The 21,677-nt window shown below is 36.2% G+C and overlaps 1 protein-coding gene across 22 annotated transcripts in view, besides 2 other annotated features; it reads right to left on the reverse strand.

Moving 5' to 3' along the window:
- Positions 1-21,677, reverse strand: part of DCDC1 (doublecortin domain containing 1) — a 506,137-nt gene that overhangs the window by 239,146 nt on the left and 245,314 nt on the right. For 18 of the 22 annotated variants that reach the window (NR_170625.1, XR_002957144.2, XM_024448478.2 and 15 more), the window contains 3 exons: positions 7,512-7,613; positions 4,049-4,212; positions 896-1,021 (listed from right to left, as the gene is read on the reverse strand). Coding sequence is in view for 19 of the 22 variants with exons in the window: in XM_024448478.2 (XP_024304246.1) it covers positions 896-1,021; positions 4,049-4,212; positions 7,512-7,613 (392 nt within the window). In the remaining 3 variants the exon portion in view is untranslated. Of the gene's footprint in view, positions 1-883; positions 1,022-4,048; positions 4,213-7,511; positions 7,614-9,154; positions 9,301-15,742; positions 15,857-21,677 lie in introns of those variants that run through there. The other 4 variants (XM_024448486.2, XM_024448487.2, XR_002957145.2 and 1 more) reach the window with 4 other exon arrangements.
- Positions 4,342-4,521: a silencer, noted in NCBI's record as "silent region_3218". NCBI's record gives its function as "represses an Ori minimal core promoter by ATAC-STARR-seq in GM12878 lymphoblastoid cells {active_cell/tissue: GM12878}" and the evidence as "EXISTENCE:reporter gene assay evidence [ECO:0000049][PMID:35858748]".
- Positions 21,103-21,604: an enhancer, noted in NCBI's record as "NANOG hESC enhancer chr11:31145398-31145899 (GRCh37/hg19 assembly coordinates)". NCBI's record gives its function as "activates a minimal SCP1, AML or CMV promoter by ChIP-STARR-seq in naive H9 embryonic stem cells {active_cell/tissue: H9 hESC(naive)}" and the evidence as "EXISTENCE:reporter gene assay evidence [ECO:0000049][PMID:30033119]".

Raw genomic sequence — 21,677 nt, forward strand, 5'->3', positions numbered from 1 at the left:
CTTGAACAAAATTTAAAATTCAGTTTTGCATTCACACTAGTCACATTTCAAATGCTCAGTAGTCACAAAGTGTGTGTCCATCATCACAGAAAGTTTTATTGGACGGCACTAAATAGTGATTAAGCACTCAGGTACTTAAGACAAATGATCTGGGTTAGAATCCTGGCTCTACCATGTACCAGCTGTGTGACTTTGGACAAATTACTTCTCTCTTTGTGCCTTGGTTTCTGTCTCTGAGAAATGGAGTAAGAGTAGAGTAATATGGAATAATAGGAGTAACGTAATTGTTGTGAGAATTAAATCGATCCTTACCCAGTTAATTTGTAACTGTGCCTGGCCTATGGTCAACACTCAGTAAAAGCCAGTTTGTATTATTTGCAGATAAGAAACCAACACCAATCTGCTCCTGGACAATCACGAGCAGAGACGAAGCAAAATGCCTCCTTAGATCTTCCAACTCCTACTCTTCACTGCCCCAACGAGTCCCCAGAACATTGCTTTTGTTTTAAATGTATCATCATCAGATAAGAAGTTTAAATGTGAACACTCACACAGAACATATTTTATATTTTAATGATTCCATTATAAATGATTAATTTAGAAATAACCACTAAAAACAGCTTTTATGTTTCAAACCAAATTGTTGTTTCTGCAAAGCAGAAACTATACTTCGCTCATGGCCCCATATGGTTTTCTAAAACTAAGGAAAGTTAACAAGTCTTTTAGGCACTACCTCATTATACCATTAAATAAGTCAATAAAAGAAACAATTGCTTATTTAAGACAACTGAAAGAGCATCTTTTAGTGTTTCGAATCTCTTACTCTGAAAAATCCTGAATTAAGTGATTTGGATTACTTTAACCACATCTTTAACAAGATTACTTGTTAATTTACTTGCCACATCCAGGTAGCAGAACAGCATTAGGATCCAAAAAGGTCTTATATGCAACCATGATATCACCTCTGGCAAATGCACTCACTCGGTCAAAGGTCAAACCCAAAGCAAGATTTAGTGGAGATCTGAAAAACGGATAAAACATCAAAACTATCTTCAAAATTAGACATACATTGTAATTTGAGCACAAATAAACAATAAAATACACATTATCATTGTCTAATAAAATTCAGAAATAAGTGAGTTTCCTATTGTATAGCACTATTGCTGGTATTCTATATTAACACCTGAAATATATACTTCAGTTTATTTAGCTGATCTATAATATGCCAAAATAGTTTCAACATATGTAATTTAAAAAATAATAATTGCAATAATTAAAGCCAAGTATTTAGTTGAGAAAAACAATCGTCATTCACATAATGTTCATTTTCCATGTATAACAGTAATCCAATACATCTATAGTAATCTTGGGAGCTGATAATTAAATGAATTCTTAATATTTGGCCACGAACAACTATTTCTGTGAGCTCACTAAATGCCATGCTGATTTGATTTTCATATTACATATTGTTAGGCACACTGTTTTAAGTGAATTTGGAAATTAAAATCAAAAACAGATTTTAAATGAAAACAATGGCCACTATTGTACACTATGAGCCATTTTTCTCTAAATTGCTTAAGACTCGCTATTTATCTCTAGAATTAAAAATCAACGACATCACCTCTGCAGTCTTGTTGCCAAAAATATTTAAACTGAATCTAATCATGAGAAAACACTCAGACAAACCCAGAATGTGGGACATTCTACAAGAAAAATGCCTGGACTCTTGAAAAATAAATTAATGTCATGAAAAACAAAACAAAAGATTAAAAGAATATTCTAGATTAAAGACAACTAAAGAAAATAACTAATATAATACAAGGAAGTATATTTGGATACTGGATTACAAAAAGCTCTAAAGCATATTTTGGTTAGCTTGAATATAGAGTGTATATTAGAGGATATTACATTACTGTTGACTGTGTTAGATATTATAATGTGGTGACACATAACTCTTCTTCAGTTATGTGACCTGAAGCATTTAGGAGTGAAATTTTAATGTCTGGAATTGCTTTCAAGCCGTTCAAGAGGGAGAGAGAGATGGGAGATATATAACAGGTAAAACAAATGTGGCAAACTCTTTAAATTGGTGAATCTAGGTGAAAGATATACAGGAGCTCATTGTACTATTTTTTCAAATTTCCTTAGATTTAAATTTTTTCAAAATAAAAAATTGAAGGAAAAATAAAATATTCAAAATAGAAGCGGACATCGGCAAAAATCATCTTTTACAAATGAGTAGCTTGACCCCTTCAAATCAACATAAATTAGACTCAGTAGAATTACTTACTGAAAATGAAAACGATTTACTTAACACGTATTGCACATTTTCTCAACATATTTCAAACTAGACGGCAATAACTTTTTAGACATATACATTTTAAACATTCCTATGGTAGCAAAATGCTGTAATGGTTTCCTGGTGCTTTATGTTGGACTGGAAACCAAAAAAATACATTAAACTGTTAAAATCACAATGAAATACAAATAAATATATGCACTGGTAAATTTCTCCGACTACAATTCTCAGCTGATTTTTAGAATATCTCAGATTTTTGGCATTTTACCAGTTATTCCGCAAATATGATCCAATTAGCCAAAAACAAATGTTTAATATTATTAAAATGCTGTATTATAGCAAACATCATTAAACGTATCAAAATTAGTGAGTCATTACTTTCACTTTGACAATAATATTAAAAAGAAATAATAATGACACATTTTATTAAAGCCTATCCTTGTAATAGGAAGGGCTTACTAGATTACTCAAGAATTCTTGCCACTTTAAAATTCATCAGTTTTTATCATTGAAAAAACAATTCTACTTACAACGTAATTAAATTATATTTTGAAATTTATCTATGGACAAAAACTTACCATTCCTTAGAGATTTTTTAATTCTCTAAATTACACAGCCTAAGAAATCATCAAGCATTTTAATATTTCATCTGGGACAGATGAAATAAAATTTTGTAACATGTGATCCACAACTTATTCTAGCAACATCTTCCAAAACCTTGATGGATTTCTGAGTACATTTGTTTCAGTATTCGAAATTTTAACTATTTGAATATATAGCAAATCCAATAGCCCTTGCTTTGCTAAGATTTAGGTTTATTTATGCTATTTTCATTATAGTTAATATATGATCAGTTATACTCTATATGAAAAATTATTTTCCCTTATTCTGTTCTACAGATAATAAGCTAAAAAAATTAAAAATAGAGAAGTGTGTTTAAGTTTCCTGACAAGCAGTTTCAGAGTTCATCTGGATGTGTTCTGTCAAAATATGCATAAATTTCCTAGATATTGAAAACAACAGCCCAGCTCATCAGTGCCTATATACTGCAGCCTTTTTCTTTCTTCAGAAACACAGATAATTTTATGCAGGAATTTACCAATCTACAAAAATTTACACAATGCTCAGCAATAACCAGTAATTATTGTGGGATAATGTAAGGTGCTTTTGAGGAATATAACTTTGATAGGATAGGGCTTACAAGCTTTACCAATTTATCTTTAGCTGTCCTGTCATTGGTGCTTAAAAGGTTAAGACTTTATTTGTGAAAACATAGAGAGATAGTGGGGAATCATGTTGTCTACAGCTTCATAAATCTTGCTTAAGATCCTTTTCAATTACCATCCATTTCTCCTTTAAAAAGGGACAAAAAAAATAGAGGAGTGGAAGCAGGTCAGGGCAGTGTGCGACAATGACAGTGTGATGGGCTTGGGCCCCCCGTGGCGTTTCCATCTGCTATCATTAAGGTGACTACTCAGACATGAACAAATCCCTCTTGCTGTGCTGACAGGCAGACTTCAAGAACTATGACAAGGCATTAAGACAGAAAGTCACAGACAGAGATAGAGAGAGAGAAGGAGATGTCATATTCCACCAACAATACTGCCTTGCAAAAACACCTCTAAAATTTTATTGGAATTCAAAATAAAAAATGTTTCATGAAGGGTGCTACTTGACTTCTCAAATCCGCTTTCAAATTAGCTCTCCCCTGGAAAGATTGAGGACAGAAAACAAACCCCTTGCTCCTACCTGTATGCTCTACCATAAGAGACCCAAATTTTTTGCTCATTCTTCAGCGAAAGTGGATTCTTAATTTCTTGGCCATTCTCATCAAAAAGCCGCATTGAAGAATAATTGAGGCCTGGTGGGTTGATGGAAGAACCTTGAAGCCTTTGATGAATCTTGAGAAGTAACTGGTTGGGGGTTAGAGGGGCAGAGGGGATAGAGGAGAATAAATAACCTAAAATGGGAACATCTGTAATAAACTGTCTCTACTCTGTAACAAATGAAGTCCAAACAAATGATAATTAAATTCATATAGAATGTTAAAAGAAGTGTGAAATGACGGCAATGTTTAGCTCAGTGTAAAGTAACAAAATGAGCATGGGCTTTTAACCAGCAGGGGGGGCCACAGGCTTGTGATTGAGCTCTGACCCTTTGGCACGGGGACTGAAAGCAGATGTGACAGTCTTACAGAAAGAGCATTTAGCTTCTACACATGGTAACGGTCCTCTTTGATAAGGGTTACGCTTTTCTTGTCTGAGCTACACATTTTGTTAGGGGCCTTCCAGACCACGTTCAAGTTTCACAATCACCAATCTCCCTGTCCCCAGCAAATCTCAGGTAACCAGTAGTAGGACAACTGCCAAAATTAAAATGACTTTTAGCCTAAGTTGGTTCACTTACAAAGATCTCTCCCTAGAAGCATTTTAATTATGAACCCTGAAATAGCTTGTGGACATCTTCAATAATGAATGTTTTTAAGTTGTAAGAAAGACATCATGGAAGTGTGAAGTATGAAAAGCTGTCATTTAATATTTAAGATAATAGCATTATCAGTGTTTGCTTCTATCTTGCATTTAGAGTCTCTAAATTATCAAGATATTTCTAATTTAGGGCATATTTCAAATATAAAGTAAATCTAACAGAACTGTGCTGCATATGGTATTTGAAAAGACATTTTTCATTATCCTCTGTCACCTTTGTTTAAGTGTTTCAGCCTTTGCTCTTCCTTGCTCTGCACTCCACCCTATCCATCACTCTTCCCCCAGCCTTCTGTCACGGGGTTCCTTTTCATCTCTCCCTTGTCAGTTCTTGTGTCTCTCGGTTTCTTGTTATCCTGTAATCCCTGCAGGGATGTAGATATAGCTGTGGTCTTTTCTGGCCTAACTGCAGTTCAGGGTCCTTTCTTTTCTTTTCTTTTTTGCTCCTCTATTAATCCCCATTGAGGGTATATTGAGAAGTGCTAAATGCTGAGGCTTAGAGGAAAGAAGGGAAAGTCACAGGTCTTCCATGCATCTCAGGTGTCTCACGATTGGCTGTAAACTCTTGACTGAGCAAATATTTCTTTTGACCAGAAACTGCATGTATAGGATCTAAGTATTAGGCTTTGTCCTACTTAGAGATACGTAATAGTATCTCCAACTTAGTGTTTTCATTAGCTGAAGATTTTTAGTCTTGAGCATTGGAAAGGCATTAATACTTCCCATCCAGCATAGCCAATTCCTTTGAATTAAAAATGATCATTACTCTCCTCTTTAGGTGTATAAGAGGCAAAGGTGTTAGAATAGTAAAAATCTATATTGCCTTGGTTATTTTTCCATGGAAATGGCAAACATATTTTGAAATCTATAGATTGTATTTCTAAAGCCCTACATTTATTTTTGTGTGGTTTCAGCTCTTGAGCTTATTTTTGTTGCTTTGCTATTATTTCAGAAAACATGTTATGCTGATCATTTTTTAAATCACAGAGATTTTGCTTTACAGGCATCACCTTTTTATAAAAAGGAATGATACCAAAGATTTAAGGCCTGATCCAGGAAGGAAATGTGTGTACAAAGAAGAGGGATGCGAGGTAGACATGTGATGTGAGCATCTGACCACTTAACCAAATTCACTTTCACAGGAGTTGCATTGCAATCTCTATTTTCTCAAGTTGGTGACAGACTGCATTTTAGGTGTTCAAAGATGAGCATTCAACAGTCTTCAGGAGGTAAGGGCCTCTGTGCCCTTCATCTTTAGGTCATTGGTTAGGGCTTTGCTGTGGCAACCAAAAATTGTGATAATCTTCACCCATTTATCTTTAAAGCTATCATCACCAGGCCTTTATAGCATAAGAATTTGTTCAAGAACCTGAAAAGAGTGTGAAACATCTTAGGCTAGTGATTGAAACACGTGTCCACACAAGGGAGCAGTTGTCCTTGGGTGGTGTCACAAGGGCTCTCCCAAAGAACTTTATAATGCCCCTAATTAATGTTTTTGCCCCAGATTTATTGCATACAGAAGCACAGCACAGCTCAATTTCAGTGTGCTATAAGTCAACACAAAAAGTTTCTATAGAATAATATCTTCATTTTTTTTTTTTTTTTTGAGACAGGGTCTCACTCTGTCACCCAGGCTGGAGTGCAGTGGTGTGATCTCAGCTAAATGCAACCTCAGCATCCCAGGCTCAAGTGATCCCCCCACCTCAGCCCCCGAGTAACTGGGACTACAGGCACATGCCACCATGCCAGGCTAATTTTTTTTATTTTTTGTAGAGACAGGATTTTGCCATGTTGCTCAGGCTGGTAAAATATTCTAATGTAAAAAGCCGGGGAGACAGGTGAAAAATCCTATGAAGGCCTTTGTGTCATGGTGATTTGTGTAATCAGTTATGTTATGGTAAAAAGAAACCAGCCAAGGCTCTGGATCCTTCTCTCTCTAATCAAAGTAGCTTTTCTTCCTCTCTTCCAGGTCCAGCTAATGATCCAATGAGAGCATCCCAATTCATATACAACTTTTTCGATTGGCTGTAAAAGCCAGGTAATGGATACCACCAGGAGAGGTAAGTCTGAGGGTGCTGAACTGAAGGGAGAAAAAGGGAGCAAGTTACTGAACAAAGGCAAGGCAAGAGAGCCCAAAACACTGCTGTGCGCTCGGGTGCATAACCCCAATTTGTAAACAACAGGCTGTTCAGTGTCCTTTTATGCAAGACAAAGACCCAAAATAAAGAGCCTGAGCATGTTGGTTCTGCCTGAGAAACATCCCAATTGTCTGGAAAACAGAAAAAGGTAAGAGTGCCTAAGATGTAAGCAAAACTAGCTGAACTTGCTCACAATGAGCAGGGAGAAGACCAAGGCTGCATGTTAATTACTCAGAATCTAGGGTTTAGAAATACCCTAGATCCAGGGCATACCCTCCACTGAATATATCACTTTTTTTTACTGTAAACAAGAGGGAAATCCTGATGTATCAAAACCAGGGCCAAGCATAGACAGATTCCAAATATAAGCATGAAGAAGGTTAAGAAACCATTAGGTATGGAGTTCAGGAGTTAACACTATACTAACGCTGAAAGCCTAAGAAATTCAGAAGTAAATCTTTGTGATATCAGTCTTTACAGATCAACAAACCATTGATCTTCTGCAAACAACTTTAAGATGTAATTGTCTAAATTAGTTGCAAGTAACTTGCAAGACACTTAAAGTCATAAGTAAACTGTCAGTAAACTCACTCTTTCCATCATATGGTCAGTTTGAATTGGGCTATCCGATCCCAAATCTTTTTTACTGATACCAACAGAGATCTCTCCAGTGTTTTTACCATTTTCAAATACCTGAAAAATAAACATATTCAAAAATAAAAATAAATACATGCACACATACATACATATATTCATACATACTTAGATAAATTTAGGCAGTCATCCTTTTTCATGGTACCATGTCAACTGAAAATTGTGTACATGGGAATTGTGCAAAGCAAGGACCGACTGTATAAACACATGTGAGTAAGTAATTGGCAATGGAATCAACAGCACTAAAAGAAAAGAAAGGCTCCTGCTTCTCCTTTTGGTTTCAGTGTCTAATTTGACTGGCATACCCTACAATCTTATAATAGAAGAAAATGTGGACATTAAAGGAGGAATCACTGACCACAGCGGATGCTTAAATGAAGCAAGTGTCAAAAAAAAAAAAAAGTCAATAGCAACCTAACTAGCTCATTTTGTTCTTCATAAAGCCACAAATAAGGTAAGGAATATTCATACTTTGGTTTATACTTAAATATATCAGCGTTCAGCTAATCTTTTGGCACACTAAAAGGAAATTTAACCTGACAGATTTATTGCATAACAGTGTGATGAAAGTCATCCATTTTAAGTGCACATATCCAAAAAGTTGTTGAGAACAGAGATAAAATTCATAACATTGCATTATGTAACACTCGCTGGGGAAAAAAAAAAATGCTAGCAAACATTCTGGTCAAAAGGATCTGAATAAACCAGTCCCGACAGGATGGCTTCACTAGAGTGAACACCACCCCTCCAACCACGCGGAGGATCCATGTGGGGTGTGCCATTCACCAGGCAAGAAAGGAAGCAGCTGAGAGAGGGGCCTGATGAATAATTTAAATCCCTGCTTTTTATTTTTTTTCTCAAAAGTTCTTTTCTTCCCTCTCTGATATGCCCATCACATCAGCAGAGCCATTTTATTTATTTCTAGTGCTATTTCCAGAGAAGATAATTTGGAAGAATATTTATTTAAAAATGAAAAAAAAAAACTACCTTTTTTATATTTTTTGAGAAAGTTTTTGAAATGTATTTAATTGTCTCAACCTGGTTTTAGAAATAATGTGTTTCAATAACACTTCCTCAGCCTTTAGTCATAAAAAAAGAAAAATAAAAAGAGTAGTAATGTCAAAAATTGCAGGTTTCATTCCAGTCAGTGACGTTCATTGAGCTACTGATAGTCCAGTCAAGAACCTACAGCTTTCAGCCTTGGTGCACTGAGGATTATTTTTAAGTAATAATCCTGAGTAAAGATACAATTCTGAGTAAAAAAAATCTCTCTACTTTTCCAAGGAAACTGGTAAACCCAACTTTTGCCTGCAAACCTATGGAAAATAATGTGGGAAAAGACTCTTACTGTCCCCATAATCTCTTCAGGGCTCAACTTTGGAACAAAACTCTTAAGCAACAGAGAAATTTAGCAGTGAAGGTCACAATTCTAGGTGGCATGTATTCTACAAGGTTAGTGTTGACAAAAGCTCAGTTTGGAGAACTTATTGATGTTCCTTTGTCGAGACTTGCTAGACATGGAGTCAGAGTGCAGCAAATTATATTCTAGAAAATAGCAGTGCCAAGTGCTAACTGCTAACCTGAGAAAGCAGAGACGTCTTGGTCAACACCTAATACCTTCATTAGCTCACTACTTTCTTCACTGCTGATAATAAGCCTTCCCTTCTACATCCAGAAAAGTGTTCTCAAAAATAAAAATAAAAATTGGCTGTGACCTCTGCAAATCCTACAAGGGCATAAAAAAAAGAGATATTTTAGTGGTTATATAAAAGTTTAGATGCTTAAGTGAAGGGAGGCTGCCCTCCACTAGTCATACATATAATGTGTTTTCACTGTGTGTCCAAAAACCTAAAAATTCTCCAAACTGAAATCTTAAGAGATTCTGTTTTTCTTAAAGCTCAGCTCTAGTTTTTAAGCTCTATATTAATATGCCTATTTTTAAAATGCAATATATATACCAAAATATATTTATTTACTTATTCCTCCTTTGCCTGAGGAATATTTTTATTTCCAATATCCAATGTTTAAACAAAGATAGCTTTCTAAAGAGAGAGTTTCTATGATTGACTTAGATACGGGAAAATTAAAAGTAGTCTACCTTTATTTTCTTCCTGCCCAATTCTTGGCTTAAGAAAAATCAGCTGCTGTATTGGCTTCCCAGTGGCTCTCTGCATGGCCTCACCTCCCTATAGCTCTAAAATTAAATTCTCACCCTTGGAGTGGGATGATGCAGAAAGCCAGCTGAGGCTAGCCTTGGGTCCTAAGGAATAAGGTCATAGAACCTAAAAAATCATGATGCAGATCCTGTTGAAAAACATAGTAGCTAACAACTACTGAAGAAACATGTAGAAATAGGAATAAGTTACTTCTATGCCCTTAGCAACACAAAGTACAGAGTTTCAAGAGAGTGTTTTTTATGCACCACAGTCTTTTTACTTTCCTTCATGTCAATATTGACTTTTCTTAAGCTAAACTAAATTAGATTAACACCGAAGTTTCATTGTAATGTCAATTTATTCACTCAACAAATATTTACTGAGTGCCTACTACGTGCCAAGCACTGTTCAGGAACTTAAAAAGCATCAGTGAACTAAGATTCCTGCTCTCAATGTGTTTACCCTGTGCTGGACTAGAGGGAGGGGCCGACAATAAGCAATAAGCAGAACACAACAAATGAGTAAATCATATAGCATATTCAGGGTACACCTGGATCTTGTGAGACCTGAAGTTTGTATAATTTAGTGGGTCTTCTTTAACAAAAACAATGCAAAACTACAATGCAAAACTAGTTATGAAATACTCAGAATAAGAAAACAACTTACACAGATTAAAAAAGCTGACACGTAGCAAAAACATTAAAAATTCAGGAAAAGTCACAAAATATTTTCATTAACTATCCAAAGCACATTTTTTACTGCATTGTGTTTGATCACCTCTTCATATAGTAATTCTGTAACATTTTCTTTTTTGTTTGTTTGTTTTTTTATTTTAAGTTCTAGGGTACATGTGCACAACGTGCATGTTTGTTACATATGTATACATGTGCCATGTTGGTGTGCTGCACCCATTAACTAGTCATTTACATTAGGTATATCTCTTAATGCTATACCTCCCCCCTCCCCCCACCCAACGACAGGCCCCAGTGTGTGCTGTTCCCCTTCCTGTGTCCATGTGTTCTCCTTGTTCAATTCCCACCTATGAGTGAGAACACGTGGTGTTTGGTTTTTTGTCCTTGCAATAGTTTGCTCAGAATGATGGTTTCCAGCTTCATCCATGTCCCTACAAAGGCCATGAACTCATCCTTTTTTATGGCTGCATAGTATTCCATGGTGTATATGTACCACATTTTCTTAATCCAGTCTATCATTGATGGACATTTGGGCAGGGCATAACCCCATCGTCTGTAACATCTTCTATAGAGATAATCGAAAGATAATCTGGCCTTATCTCTAGCATGGTTAATAAAAAAAAATTATTCTTGATTAGAAGTTTCTTTTGGCAACACAATTTCATTGGTCATTTCATTAAAAGTTTTAGGATTGATGCCACATTTTGGAAAACCTCAATCAGATTTCTTTAAAATATGAGCTGTAAAATGTGGAAAAATATTCTACCAATTAATTGGCTCTGTTAATTTCACACCATGTTTCTCTTCCACCACCCACCCACATACTTTTGGTGCCAGGCACTCTAGTGCACCAATCAGAAAACAGTACACGATAAGGTCAACAGGCAGTAGCTATCTTCCTGGAAGCTCTTTCCATACCAAAATGGCTAGTACTAACTGAGCTATATAGAGAAGTGACTGCAAAACACTAACTAGATTCCACTACACCCAACTCAATGTATCCCTAATTCAATTTCTCCTTAGCCATACCTCAAAAATGTGTGCAATCATTTCAAAATCACGTGGTATAAGAAAGGGTATGAAAGAGAAGAAATTGAAGTGGAAAGAGACAATAGGGTTAACCAATTATAGTTAAAATACATTACATTTGCAAATTTTACAGGCATTATGCAGGGAAGGGGCCCTAAAGCTTAAGTTTCATTAGCGTCATGGTAAATGCACCCTGTGTAGGTTAGAAGGTGGTGCTATGTAAAGGAGAAAAAATACATCAGGGCAGGGGATACAGGCCTGGAATCAAGGAGTGTGATGGATGTGCTGGTCATCATATGAAATGGGTGATCTGGATAAGCTTCAAAGAGGGAAAACAATTGAGCAAAGATTTAGAGGTAAAAGAGTTAGCCCAACAGACAACAGGGAGAAGAGTACTACACGCAGAGAGAGCTGCCAGAGCAATGAAGCAAGACAGGAATGTGTCCAGTATGTTCCAGGAACTGTAAGGAAGCTACTGTGACTGGAGCAGAGTGATGCAGAGAGAAAGTAAATAAGAAATCAGAGAGGTAAGGGGTAGAGAATGAAATGGGGAATCACTGCCGGGTTTGGAATACTGTGGTAAAAGGATCTGACTTATTAACACATTTTTTAAAAGGATCATTATGGCTGCTGCCTTGGAGTAGACTGTAGGAGGCAAAGGCAATCCGAAGCCAGGGTTAACAGTGGCTCAAACAAGAGTATTAACAATTGACATGCTGAGAAATGGGCAGTTTCTGTTGTTCTGTCAGAGTTATGCTATTTGCTTCTTTGTTTATTAGCAGGACTGGAAAATAAAATTTGTAGGTAGGTTAATATTTCAGAAACATTATGTTTGCATTTATGGATGTAAATAAATCAATGTAAATATAACTGTTCACAGAGAGTATTTGTGAAGGCATAAAAATGTCAACGAAGTACTAAAAACATTTTATTGACTGTGAAGATTTTAGAGGCAGTGACTTAAACTATATAGGGAAACTTAAACTATATAGGGAAAGCTGCCCTGAATGGGCAGTTATGAGCCAATGTAGTTCTTTGATGAGCTTGCCTGTAATCACTTATGACATCTATTTAAGGACTTGTGCAAGGCCTAGTTCAGTACTATTATCTAGCCTTTAATGCTAGAGGTCTGGTTAAGAACTAGCTGTGGGGGAACAGCAGGTTCCCAAACTCTCCATAACCACTGGGCAGACCACCCAGGAAGCTCTTCTGTGCGTGAGCAGAAGGCCAAACACCTAAGCTTCAAAATGTCTCAGGATGCAATGCTGTCAAGAGGCAATAATAGAAAAATGACACCGCAGTGTGTTGCCAAAGTTGGTTGGGTGTACTGTAACAGGATTTATTACTAGAGGTCTGGTGAAGGAAAGGAATATAAAATAGCCACACAAAACTATCTGGCATATTTCAGGTGAACATAATTAAACACATAATGAACATACAAGGTTAACTTACATGTTGTCTTGGATTGGGGACCACTGAAACTGACCCTGAGACCAAGATTTGCCTGCAGGAAGTTTACTGGGAACTCTCTGAGGACCAATGTTGGTGAGGGAATGAGCAAAACAATGGGCAGATGGGCAAAGCAAGTGCCTCTGGTGGGAGCTCTAGAACTGGGAAGGTACTTAAGGTTGTTCAGAATTAAGAAAAGGGAGACATGCCTTTGCATCTGTGTACCAACCAAATGTTGGATGCAGGCTGCCCCGAGGGTGGGAGCCTAATCTTGGGAGAAGCAGCTCCTTTACACTGAGGGCAATTATCTAAGAAGGATATAGCTGTGGCAGTGGGGGGGGGGGGGATGGGTATCTCAGTCCTGAGAGGGAATCTGGGCAGTGTGGCACAGCATCCACTCCACACACACATGATAGGTCAGAGTGCAGGACACACTGTCACCTACATGAACTCAATACTCAAAACAACTGGATTTTACAGGTGACTCTCAGAAAGACTGAGTGACTTCACCAAGGCACATCTACTCATAAGGGGCAGGGAAATCTTTAGAAATCAAGTCCAATGACATTTTTAACTATAGATATCAAAATTTACCTTATATCTAATATTAGAAGCTCTAATATATGAAAATTGAAATGAAAAATTTTAAAGGCATAGAAAAATATTATATAGTTGAGTTTTTACCTAAATCAAATAACACAAAAATTAAAGTGAAATATTTTTCTTATGTAAGAAGCTAATTAGCCATGAAAAAAAAAATTTATCCAACCAGAATTCAAAGTCACTTTCAAATACAGAAAATCACTTCTAACTCAATTAACATTATATGTACACTAAATAAAATACATGTACTACTTTTTCCTTTTTTATAGACTTGAAGGATGGTTTTTAGAATATCCATATTTTTGACATTTTCTCAAATATATGATATAGTATAAATCAAACAGTAAACTTGTCTAATTTTAATATTCAAAGTGATAATGACAAACCAAATATTAAAATTATGGGATTCTGGCAACAAAAATTTAATTAAAAATTCATATATTTATGCTATATACTATATAAGAAAAAGTGTTTTAATGCCTAATACATATGTCTTTAAATATTATTTAACAAGTAAGGAGCCACTAAATTTTGTCCCAGGAAATGAAAATGCACTTAAGTGAAAACAAATTACATAATTCTTAAACTTCATCAATCTAAATGGTAACTGGACCAACAATCAATTTTTTTTTAAGCCCAGAAAAGGCATACCAAAGAAGATAACTTTTTGGAAGGAGATACTTTAAAATTCCATTGTAAGATATAGCAGAGCTCACCATTTCGAAGTATGTAAAGTAGGTGGCTGCCTATAGGGTAGGATTTTAGAAGGGAGCCCAAAGACTCTAACCTCAAAATATCTCTCCCACCAACTTGCCAATACTTGAAATTTCAGTTAGAGATTCACTCCTTTGTCACAATTAAAATGCCACAGCTGCATGAGGGGAAATTATATTCAGCCTCATTGGTTATTGATCCTCTAAGGCTGTGATTTTCAATCGCAGCTTTCTGGTACCCCTCAGAGGCCTAGGGTAGGCTGGGATTAGGGGGTTGGGCAACAGTGGTTTCACACGGGGAATCAGATCTGATGAGTGACTATGTGGAAGCAGCCACTATCCTGGCTTCAAACAGGGTAGATCCTACTTTTATCTATTTTACATAGTAGATTCCAAGAAAGAATTTTGATTTCAGGAAAAAAAAAAAAATTCTAAACTACTATCTTAGCTCAAAACAAAGAATGGCATGTCTCTTTCCTAAGAGCAAGTTTTGAGCAAAGGGTGGTAATAAGAGCCTGGGTTATCTGCCAGCCCTAATGGAGGGCTGGAGCAGAGGAAGGGCCAAAGGAGACTCCTGTAAAATGGCCCTCATCAGCTTCTCAGTGATCTTGGGAGTGGGCCCACATTCCTTCCTTGTAAGTATCTAAACTCACTTTCCATTGTTTTCTTATAGTATTTTTTTAAATAGTCTTACCCCATTTTGCTGTGACTATTGACAAAAAATAAGGCATATGTTTCTGCAAAAAAAAAACAAAAAATCAATTTGTATCCAATTGCAAATCTAAGTTCAATATATGAAAATGTTTAAAACTTTCCAGAAGACAGTGGCAAAGGAAATTTGCTTGCGTGTCATGTCCTAAGCCAAGTAATTTCAAAAAGCCCTTTATAAATGGAATATCTCAAGAAGAATTGCAACAAGGATTTCACTTTGTCTAAATTAACTTAATCCCTAAAATTATATTTAATCGGGATTAAAATATCAGGCATGTGGGTCCTGTCAGTAGCTGAGTATGATGTATTTTGTAAAAAGAGCTTGGTAAATAAAGGTTTTTGGAGTTTCCTGGCACCAATATATTTATTTTTATAGAAAGTCAGTGTTTTTTTGATGAGAAAAACATAGTCATGTGCCCCTCAAATTTTATTTTACTAGGAGAAATGAACATTGTAGGATTAAATATAAACTAAATCATCAAACTTTCCCCAAATTATCAGCCTTATAGATCATATTCTTACCCTTGGAAAGAGTGTATGCTTTTACTGCCATTCAGTTTCATTTCTTTATATCAAATATGCCTGTAAACATAATTTTCCCCTAAAGTGAATGAGTATCCTGAGAAACTAAAAGCTGTACAAAAGCTTACTATCTATAATAAAACATTTATATTTTAAGAAGTAATCCATTTTTTTCATCATAAAACACAATCAAAACTAGGTAGAATCTTAAGTAGGTGTAAATTCATCACCCCATTTTCACTTACGAGAAAATCTGCATTCATTTATGTTCAAATGAAGAATTTATGCTCGATAACGTTCATGGTGAGTCAGACTAACATAGATGTCAGTCGGTAATCCAGGGGACGGGAACATATGTAGGAAAGGAATCTCAGCAACTTGAACATATCAAACACTCCGTGAAAAAGCTAATTGAGAGGTAAAAACAAATTAACTGTTATGGAGAAGGACAATCTCACTGAGAGAGAGTGTGTGCCTGCAACAGTAAGGTTCAGTGGTTGCATTTAGTCCGAATAACTGCTGGGACAGTAATACAGCTCTGGCCTGTGGACTTTCCCCGCTGACTGCCCACCTGGCAATTCTCCGGGCACCTTCTAGGATGTCAGGCCTGCACAGGGAAAGCCTGTCTCATTATAACAGGCACTGCATGGGAGCTAATGCCCAGACCAATTGCTCTTCCCTGATTTTGATACAGACGCAGTTTTTCTCTTCAGCACATCTTGAAAAGGAAGATTGTATCTTCCTACGGAGATTTACACCTGACTGCAGATGCCTGTCAGAAAATAAGGTAGTATGAATATACTGGCATTTTCCCCCCAAAATCCACAAAGAGGAGGAGGAGTGGGGCAATGAGGACAGGAGGAAGAAAAGGTGGTGGCAAGATGGAAAAGAGCGCTGCAAAGAAGAGTCAAGAGATTTCAGCACCTGCCGCTAATTAGCTATCACATGAGATGTGTAAAGGCTTCGTAGGATCTGTTTCTTTACCTTTAAAATGGGCAGTCCAATATTTTCCTACTATCGTAAAACCTACATATGAAAATTGATCATCTTCATTACATTTTGCCCAACCTTTAGTGAATGTTCTCAAAATCACAATAACCTTGAATATTCCAATTTTGCTACTCTCACCACAATTCCTTTTCAAATGAACGCAAAGTTGGCATGTTTTACTAACTGTACCTAAGCCATATCCTAAATTTGTTTCCCATTGTTTACTCAAATAATTTAGGTGACATAACAGAGCATCCTAGGGGTTATAAATACATGTTTAGGAAAAGTGGTTAAATAAGAACGACACGGATCAAGGAATGTACAATGGAAATAACGTAATATGCACATAGAACAGTGAAAACACCAACCAAAAAAAATCTTGTCACACTTTCATGTGCAACTGACCTTAGTTATCATTTAATTGTTCCATAGATTCCTAAATATTAAAATAAGCTTTCTATTAATACAAATGAATGATTGGAAACTTTAAACTTTTTTAAAAATGACCACAAAATAGAAGGCAAATCTCAACTTCTTTCATGGTGCTTTTGTGCCATTCAAAGAATAAATTTAAGTATTCAATGCACAGGAAAGTCACATGTTTTCTGTTACCAACCAAATTAGCCCATTTTCAAAATGTAAAGAGGCCTGGGAACTTAAAATAATGGAATTGTAGTAAAAAGGTAAGAAGATGAACAGATTGGTTTTGCTAATCTGTTCATAGTGTTGTCATATTGTTTCTAATTGTATGAAAATAATCGTGGCCTTGGGTCAAAAAGGTGTTCTATGCTTCTCTGCATCTTCCCACAGTTCCTAGCACAATGTCTTCTGGACAAGGCTATTTGATAATATGTGGATTTACTGGACTATTCATTTAAAATCTTCTTCCTTTCTGTCATTGGCAGAATAAAAATTGTTAGATGCATACAACCTGGATGATGAACTAGATGCTGGATGAAGACATCCTTTAAAAAAGAAATCTCTGAATTATCCCTTTAACAAAGCTTAAATTTACTTACAATAGAAGAGAACACTATAACTAAACAATATAAAAATAGAAAGCCTAAAAATGTCTCCAAATCAGAGTGCTATGAATCTTGTTATTATCCAGGTTACTAAATTCCACCATATTTCTCTTGCTCATGGTCAGAGTGGATTTAAGTGAAGTTAATGAAGATTAGAGTCATTCTAGGTCCTAAGAGTTCTGGAAGTTGTCATAAAATACTTCTGTGTAAGTATTTCTGATGAGCTGCCTAAAAAAGACCCAGAAGAAAGAGCCTGAATTGCCAACACTCCATTGATTTGTTGCGATTTACTTTCTCATTCTAAATAAATATTCACTTTCAGACCTAATTTCAAAGAGAGCTCCCCACCCCAAGCTGGCTCCCAAATTTGACAAGCTCTAGGTCCCACAGAAACTGGATCTGCCTCTACTGGCAGCAAATAGAAAACAACTCTCAGAGCATCACTGACCAATTGTGTGTGAAATTCACTAATTCCAGTGAAAGGATATGCCTGTACTCATCTTCCTCTCATTCCCTCATGCTTTCTCCCACCTACTCAGACATCACACATTCTCCTTGCTCATCAATTCTCTGTCACAATCACCCACCTTCCTACTAGCTTTTCCACTCACCATCCCCCTACAGATTTGCTAATACCCTTTCCCAGCAATCCTTTCTTTCCTGCCCTCCCAGGGAAATGCTAACATTGCTGACATTTCCATGGGGATGAAGAGGAGGAGGAGTTGCATGGAAAGAACAGGACTAGGAAGGCAGAAGTCACTGAGCCATGGCTCTAGCAGATGTTCTCAAAGAGACTGGGGGTAGTGGCAGTGACAGGGAATAAGGGGTAAGAGAAAGTTTAGAATAGTAAGAAATTGCTCCAAAACACTTGTTGCCTGAAGGGCTTTGTAGATGATGGTGCACATTGAGTGTAACCACTGATGGTAAAAACAGTAAGAAATTTTCAACTTACAAGGTGCTATGACTTGATGGCAGGAGAATGTACTGGAGTACAAATACAAATAAATTGTGGTTGTGACTATATAGAATATACGAGTGCACATGAAAATGACGTGAAAGGTGACAATGATCATTAGGAACAATGCAATTACAGGTGATACAACTCTTTCCTAAAATTCCTCAAATGGTGTTATGTTTCCATTTTTTTTTAAACAAGGAACTTTCCTATGGCAGAAATGAGCAACCACACAGAGGCTGCTCCCGGTTTTTTATCTTGTATGCCCATTTAAACTTGTCACTGTATTATGTCACATGATTGCAAAAATGGGAGTGAGGCAATATGGAACACAGAAATAGTGTCCTTTTAAGAGGTGATTTTCTAACGTTAAGACCAAACCAAAAGCTGCTGTTGTTCACTGATCAATGCAAGACGTGATAAGGATGAAAAGCTCAGTGAAGAGGTTAAGAACACCATATACAATATGAAAAAGCAGCTCAGAGGATTTTGAATTGCACCCTGCCTCCAGCCCCTGGTTGAGACCACTGCTCTACAAGATGATGTTGGCTACAATACATTATTTTGATTCTTGAAGTTGAGCTGTGAGCTTACATATATATGTAACAGAGTGATGAAAATCATGAAATGAAGTTTAGAAAGATAATCATCCCCATTTATTTTTTGTCAAATACTTTCTAAGATTAAAATGAACAGAAAACAGGAAAAATGCTTTACTAGGGCTATGTAAGCTATAGTAAGTTCAGTTATAAATGGAAAATATATTTGTTTATTGATAAGTCATTTAACACTCTATGATAGTACGTGCCACAAGGTGGGATAAAGTTGTTCATAATCAGAAAAGATGTGGCCCTTGCCCACAGTGAGTCAGAGGTAACTGAGTTAGAGATGGTGTCCAAAGGAAGGTAGGCCATTCCATATACACCCATGGGAATTTAGAGGGTTAGCTAGGTAACTGATATGAGTTGATTCTGGAATTAATGCAAGATGGTACACTGCGGCCTTTGCTCCATGTGTCTTCAGTTGGAATTAGCAAGTTCTCCCCACCTGACAGGATATACAGAATTCCCACCACCACCATCACGAATTCTAAGATATAAGTATAGAGAAAAGTTTTAGCTACTTAGCAATTGGAATGAGAATTTCTTTGTGGGGTGCTATTGGTTATGCTTAAAAAGCTGCTTTGGTAATCTTGCTATGATTGTCAGTCCTGCCTATACAATAAAATCATTTGGGAGCTTTTGAAAAAATGCTGATGCTTGCACCACACCTGAAGATGTGCTGGTAAATGTTTAGCAACCTGCTTAAGGAAGGGGGTGATTATTATAAATTCTGCTGATACAAGGATCACATAACATATAATTTGCAAATAATAATAAAATATCTAATACTTTTTATTGTAAATTCTACATAGCCAACTCACTCTCAAGAGTGGTTTCACTGATTTTTGCCAAGTCTTGTATCCACATCCATCCTATGGTTGCAACTGAGAAATGAGTGTGGTTCTGACCCGAATGTTGATTAATATTTTCATCCATGTTGATAAGACAAAAATGAAAGAAAGAAGACATATGTAGGACCGCTCTTGTTAATCAATGACATGGGCAAGTTCTTTGCTGAATCAGATAATGATTTCCATATACTGAAAGAATATTTCAATTTTTGTGCTATTCACAATGCAACACACAGAAATTTTGCACTTTTGAATTTAATCTGCATTGTGAATATTTTCTGTCACATACTTAAATCTAGACCACAGATCAACAAACTTTTCTTTAAAAGGCCCAATAGTAAATACTTTAGGCTTTTCAAGTCATATGGTCTCCACTCTGCCTGGTAATATAAAAGCAGCCATAGACAATACACAAACATAAAGGTGTCACTATATTCCAGTAAAACTGTATTTACAAAAAAAAACAGGCAGATTTGGCCCACAGTGTGTGGTATTTCAACTCCCTAGTCTAGACAATCAATAAAACATGAAATCAAGCCCTCATTTATAGTATTTGCCAATTTCTATTTTATAAATACTCTGACCACAACCAATTTTCAGATACAACAAGCCATCCCTGAAAATAAACTTAGGAAGAAATGCACGGTAGCACACACTATTATATAGTGTTTACACTAAACAAACACAATAGGTCTAAATAACTTCAAGAGAATAGGTAATAGTAAAATGTAATTTAAAAATTAGGAAGTGAAGTGTATGACCTATTTCATTGTAAATTCATATGATTTTTAAATAATGGCTATATAAAACAACTGGCTTACAAAATTCCTGAAAACTTAATCAGTGCCTCCAAGCTGGTAGAAGTTAGTCTTAGCACAGGAAACCAATTAAGTCAAAATATCTGTGGATGGAAACATTGGTATCTTAAAAAAAAAAAACCTCCAGAATATTCTAACATGCAGCCATGTCATTTTTCTAAGCCTGAGAATGGGGCTGATATCCAGGTTTCTTGAGATGTGGAAGAGGAACTTATTTTCTGAGAGAAGCTAGATGTTGCAAAGGAGAAACCTGAGAAGAGAGGAAGCAGAAGCAAATGGAGCTGAGTACTTTATAGGGGAAAAAAATCATAAAAAGAGAATGCCTGGGATGTGGGAGAAAGAATTCTGGAGAAAAGACCAGGGTGACCAACCATCTTGGTTTGCTGGATGCAGGCTTTTTAGTGCTAAAATAAGGAAAGTCCTGGGAAACCACTAGAAAAATATTCTTTTATTTTAATTAATTAAAATTAAAATTTAAGTAGCCATATGTGACTAGTGGCTACTTTACTAGACAGCATAGTGAATCTAAACAAATACAACAACATGGCTTCTTTGCATATGTAAATTTCCTCTTTTGTTTGCTGGTATGGAAAGTATTTTAAAGCACATTAAAAGGGAGTGAATAAGAGTGGTGAGAGAAGGCATCCTTGTCTTGTACCAGTTTTCAAGGCGAATGCTTCCAGCTTTTGCCCATTGAGTATGATACTGGCTGTGGGTTTGTCATAAATAGGTCTTATTATTTTGAGGTACATTCCTTCAATAGCCAGTTTATTGAGAGTTTTTAACATAAAGGGATGTTGAATTTTATCGAAGGGATTTTCTGCATCTCTTGAGATAATCATGTGGTTTTTGTCTTTAGTTCTGTTTATATGGTGAATTATGTTTATTGATTTGCGTATGTTGAACCAGCCATACTCCCCAAAGCAATTTATAGATTCAATTCTATTCCCATTAAATTACCATTGACATTCTTCAAAGAATTAGAAA

Source organism: Homo sapiens, chromosome 11 (genome assembly GCF_000001405.40).
Source record: "Homo sapiens chromosome 11, GRCh38.p14 Primary Assembly".
Classification (NCBI taxonomy): Eukaryota; Metazoa; Chordata; class Mammalia; order Primates; family Hominidae; genus Homo; species Homo sapiens.